Source organism: Homo sapiens, chromosome 6, assembly GCF_000001405.40.
Source record: "Homo sapiens chromosome 6, GRCh38.p14 Primary Assembly".
Lineage (NCBI taxonomy): Eukaryota > Metazoa > Chordata > Mammalia > Primates > Hominidae > Homo > Homo sapiens.
In genome coordinates this window covers 79,974,512-79,980,511 of record NC_000006.12, presented here as the reverse complement: position 1 = coordinate 79,980,511, position 6,000 = coordinate 79,974,512, and the positions used below count along the sequence as shown (strand labels likewise).

Below are 6,000 nucleotides of genomic sequence, written 5' to 3'. Positions count from 1 at the left end.
CCACCTGCCTTGGCCTCCCAAAGTGCTGGGATTACAGAGATGAGACACCATGCCTGGCCAGGGCTAAAAATTAATTGTAACCAGGCAAGGTGCCACCAGCCTGTAGTTCCAACTACTGTGGAGGCTGAGGCAGGAGGACCCTTTGAGTGCAGGAGTTCAAGGCTGAAGTTTGCTATGATTGTGCCTATGAATAGCCACTGTAATCCAGCCTGGGCAATCTAGTGAGACCCATCTTTAAACCAAATAAAGCAAAATTAATTATAATTACAAAATTTCAGCAAAAATTATAATAAATATAAAATTAGAATTATTTTTCGTGTTTTTTCAAAAAGTCATTTTTTATATTCAAAATTATTTATTAAACTAAAAGTCAAAATACAAACTAATGCATATACAAAAATTTAATCAACATTATCTAAAGTTAAATTTTAAAATTCATTTTTGAAAATTTAAAACATTAGATATTTTCATAAAAATAAAACTATTCACAATTCTAGCATTAAATGTTCATCTAGTTTTCAATATAAGAATCAATATCACATTTTATATATGTCATAGCTAGATCAGCATTGTCCAATAGATACAGTGCAAGCCACATATACAACTTCTAAATTTTTTACATTAAAAGTTCTTCCACATTAGAAAAATTTAAAAGAAAACATTAACATATTGTTAGTATTTATTTTAATATATTTTATTTAATCTATATATTAAAATTTTTTGCATTTTTTTATACTGTCTTCAAAATTGAAAAACACACAAAAGTATATTTTACAATTATAACACTTCTCAGCTGGACACATTTCAGGTGCCCAAAAGTCACACGTGGCTAAGGTTACCATATTGGACCACAACATGAATTCTTTAATATTTCAAGTATTACTCCGTTGCCATGTGCAACTATTGCAAATACTATCTTAATTGAAGGCTTTCAGACCCACAGATTGACACACAAAGAGAAGCAACAAAACGGATTTTCCACACAACTAGGAATAATAGTAAGAGGAAGAACTTGACATGTTAACATGTCCAAGTAACTTGTCTTTTCTCTTACCTAAGCACTTCTACCACTCTAATCCTCGGAAGCAGTGTCCATCTCCGGTGGTGGTGCAATCCACAAACCATCATGGATGCAACTGCCTTTTGTTCCAAAGGACACAAGACAAGAGGCTGGAAGCAGCATTTCCTTGGGTCCCAAAGGAGGGTTAGGCATAAGAGTGGATCTTTAGGGATTACATGCTACATTGTGCAGTGTGGAACATCAGACAACGAGTAACAGAAATACCATTTGTTCATTAATTCATTTGTTGGTGCATTTATGAAAATTACAGCTGAAGGAAGAGGCTGCACTTGCTCAGGTATGAGGAAGATACTGGATCAGGGCAGTCCCAGAACTAACCTGGTTTCCCAGGAACGCATTAGAAAAGGAAGGGATCAAGACGGGCCAGGTCTCTCAGGACTGTGCTAGATGAGGGAAGATGGGCTGGAATGTGAATCTTCATGTAGTAATAGCAGTGTTCCAAGAATGAGAGGAGTGGCAAGGTCAGGTCTGAGAGAGCAGGAGTACATGGGGTAAGGTTGGCAAACTGCAATGACCTGGAACGCACATACTCCGTCAATTATTGCCAATCTTCTAGTTTTTCCAAAGTGGCCAAAAATCTAGATACAAGATGCAAATATTTCTAATGATCATTATTATTCTGCATACATCTATGGTATCTATTTATCCATCCATCTATTCATTCATTCATTCATCAATTTAATATTTGTTATCTATACTGAGCTATTCATTACCAGACACTGTTCTTAGTACCACAGATACAAGGATGAATAGGATACAATCCCTACCCTTAAATAACTCTTACTGCTTTATAGGACTTAATCCTCTGCTAAGGCCTTCTTTCTTTTCTCTCCTAGTTATTTCCTCAAAAACGTGAACACCTGTTTGTGTTGTCCTCCTCAATGCTGGTGCAGATCAAGGATCCTTTGGGGGCTGTTGTCCATGTCAGCTTTTTCTGGGAGGCTGAAAATTGCTGTGCAGAACCTCTTGGGCTTTCCTTCTAAGACCACTTGATAGAGGAAGTATATATTTCCCTCACCTTCTATATAATATCTGAATAGAAAACATAATATACACTGCCTGTGGTAGAACGTGCCTGTAATCCAAGCACTTTGGGAGGCTGAGACGGGAGGATAGCTCGAAGCCAGTAGTTTAAGACCAGCCTGGGCAACATAGTTAGACCCTATCTCTACAAAAAAAATTTAAAATAGCTGGATGTGGTGATGTGCACTTGTAGTCCTATCTACTCAGGAGGCTGAGGTGAGAGGATCACTTGAGCCCAGGAGTTCAAAGCTGTCATGAGCTATGATTGTGCCACTGTACTTTAGCCTGGGTGACAAAGTGAGACACTGCCTCTATAAAAGGGGGAAGAAACATGATATAGGAAGAAGCGGGAGAAGTATTTGCTCTCAGGGGACAGAGATAAAATACATTTGTGGTGGTCAAACCTGTATGATTCTTTTATATTATTTTGGTATTGGGAGAAATTCTTTCAACATGAGAATATACTATACAATACATAAGATGACTTTAATTTTTCCTCCATGGAAAGAAATACTTATCAATGATTATTTCCCTTTCATACATGCCAAGTAAATTTTAGAACATTACATATGGTTACTAAGTTCAATTATTAATGAAAAGAGAAATATATCTTTTAAATATGTTTTTCAATTTCCAGTGGAGAACTTACTCATTTTTAGGTAAATTTGGTAGTGAACTATGTCAGTGGTAAAAAAAAAAATGCCATGCTTTAAATATATTTTAATATTCATTATCTCATTTGACCCACACAACAACTATATGATGTAGATAGGGAATGCATTATCTTCATTTATCAGATAGAGTTGAGCCATAAAGAGACTAGAGACTTGTACATGCCCACGCACATTAGGGCCAGAGATAAAAATAGAGTTGAAGTCTCTGGATTTCTAGTCCAGGACGCGTTCCATTATAACACAGTACCTTCCTAGTTGCTCTTCATAAAATCTATGATCTGGTACAGACAAAATGCTAAAGGAAAATCCTCATAAGTAAAAAATCCAACCTGCTAGCTAGGATCTAGTAAAATGCTCAGAACATGTTGTTTTCCTTTGTCTTACCCTTATTTATTCTAGATCAAAATGGAATACATAAATATACACAACCAGAAATTTACTGGGACCAATTATTTCACAATTTTATGGCTGTTGTGCCCAACATTAATTCACATGTCATCTCTTATTTGGAAATCTTTTGAATGATTCTGGGCAAAAACTTACTAATAATATAGAAAATCCTGCTGAATTTAATTAGCCTTTGGCAATAAAAATTTGTGAGTTTGCTGATCAGTAAGTTAGCTCTACCAGATAGACCTCATTATTTACAGACTTGATTTAGTTTCTCAGTAAAATGGTCTTCTCGGTAGAGCATGAGGGAATAATATTTCTTTCACTTTCTACTTTGCTTTATAACTAGCGAAGATTTTATAATCATTTAGATCTTACTTCACTGCCAACTCCTGAAATTTAATCCTATGTATGCTCTGCCACAGACAAAACTTTCCACTTTACAAAAAACTTTTCTCCAAAAAATACCCATTGCCCCCAGATAGGAAATTCACTGATGTATTTGTTTTCAAAGAAAAGATAAAAGTTGTGGAAAGCAGCAATGTGGTAGGAAAATCACTCTTGATTAATTCTCAAAAGTGACGGGGTAGTGGGAAATAAGGTGGTAGTGGGGGTGGTGGAGAGGTAGGAAGTAGGAATATATATATACATTATGTATATACATACAGAAAAAAAAAGATCTAACCTTAAAGAGTGTGGTGAGGTACTAAGAGCAAAAAACTGCACAATTAGGTCTCTAAAATAAATTACAAGACATTTAAATTGCTTTCTTCCTTTTGACTTCCTTGGATATAGTAATGTAGATAGCAATATACAGAAAATATACATAGAAAAGCACCTCTTGGAATTCATTTACTAAAGTTTTCAAGTAAACTCAATGTTCTTTGCAGATAATCACAAGTTTTTACAATGGTTGAAATAGGTTGAGTGTTTTTCCAAGTAGCTAGAAAGACAGGTTTCAAAATGATTAAGGATAAAATCTCTCAGTTCAAAATTAAATTCACTTACTGTATTAGTCTGTTCTCACGCTGCTAATAAATACATACCCAAAACTGGGTAATTCATAAAGGAAAGAGGTTTAATTGACTCACAGTTCCACATGGCTGGGGAGGCCTCACAATCATGGTGGAAGGCAAAGGAGGAACAAAGTTACATCTTACATGATGGCAGTCAAGAGAGCATGTGCAGGGGAACTCCCCTTTAAAAAACCATTAGCTCTTGGGAGACTTATTCACTATCACAAGAATAACACGGGAAAAACCTGCCTCCACAACTCAACTACCTCCCACCAGGTCCCTCCCATGACACGTGTGGATTATTACAATTCAAGGTGAGATTTGGGTGGGGACACAAAGTGAAACTGTATCACTTGCTAATTTTATAATTGAAAAATTTTTTAAATTTCAATAATGTAATTAAGAAGCCCAGAAAAATTCAAGTGTAATAATGCTTATCAGCTTCATCTTTTACTCCCTGGCCAAAATTTTATTTGGCTATCTTGTAAAAATTATGAAATTATCAATTAAAATATTATTCATTACTGAGAGGTAAAAAGTTAATATATACAATACAGCATATAAAATTAATATGAATGTAAATTTAGTGTAATAAACTCTTCAGCTTAATATTTCAAAGAAATCTAAGTTCTAAACTCAGTTGTTTCTTCAGATCTATTCTTCCATTCTCTGCTTCGGTTGATTACATTTCTATCTACTCATCATCCAAGTTAAACCTTATAAGTATCATTTATGCTTTCATTCTTCAAATATTTGTTGAGTAGCAGCAATGTCTCAGACCAGATGCTAGGCACAGGAGATACAGAGGGGCTAAGACAGACAAGGAGCCTTCATTCCAGTAGAAAGATAATAAGCTTTATGAATTAGTTAATCAAACAAGATAATTTTAGCTAATGATAAGTACTGTGGAGGAAATAAACTGGGTGATGACAAGTAGAGTTCAATTTAAATAGCCTTCTCTGAGGAGGTGACACATGAGCTGAGACTAGAAGAGCTCAGAGCAGAATATTCCAGGTAGAGGGAATGACGAATAAAAGGATTAGAGTGAGGAAAAGTTCAATGTGTTTGAAGAACAGCCTGGGGAGGGAGGTGGTGTGAATAGGCAAGAGTCAGTATGTGCACAGACTTGGTCGTGATGGTGAATAATTTATTATAAAATGATGGGAAGCCATTTAAAGCATACAAGTATGGGATTGATTGGCTTGATCTGATAGTCCTGGTAGAGAGGGACAAGACTGGGAGCAGAATGACTCATCATAAGGAGTCCAAGCAGCAGATGATGGTGGCTTATTCCAAAGTAGTAGAAATGCAGACCCATGATATATGTTGGAGGTGTAACTGGTAGGTCTGAATAATTAATTAGATGTGGTGGGTAGCAGTGGTGTGCTGGAACAGACTCTCAGTAGCTCATGTGAGCTGAGTGCAAGCATATCCTTCCAACTCTGCATTCAGTGATGAAATGACACCTGGCTTAATCAGCCATGGAGGGAGTATCTATGATGTATCATAAAGATTGGCAAATGCTACAAATAAGGCCTTCCACACCCTTATCCCCAGACTCATTTGAATATCGCCTGCACATCCATGGCAGGGAGGGAAAGGAGAATAATCAACAGTTGATTTGGACACACGTTTGAGTCGCCTGTTGAGTCCTCCTTTTTCTGCTCCTTCATGCTCATCAGGTTTTCAAATTCCACAAGTTACTTTTCAAATCTATCTCTTCACTTTCTCAGCATCTGATGGACTGTTCACAGCCTCATCAACTCTTCCTTGCACTATTGCAAAAACTTCCTGGTTTCTCTGTAAAGAGTGTTGC

The 6,000-nt window shown here is 36.3% G+C and overlaps 1 long non-coding RNA gene across 1 annotated transcript in view; it reads right to left on the bottom strand.

Annotated features, from left to right (window-relative positions):
* Positions 1–465: 465 nt before the first annotated feature.
* Positions 466–6,000, bottom strand: part of LOC124901351 (uncharacterized) — a 32,242-nt gene continuing 26,707 nt past the window's right edge. Inside the window, exon 3 of the long non-coding RNA XR_007059656.1 lies at positions 466–1,659. This is a non-coding gene — a long non-coding RNA (uncharacterized LOC124901351). The remainder of the gene's footprint in view (positions 1,660–6,000) is intronic.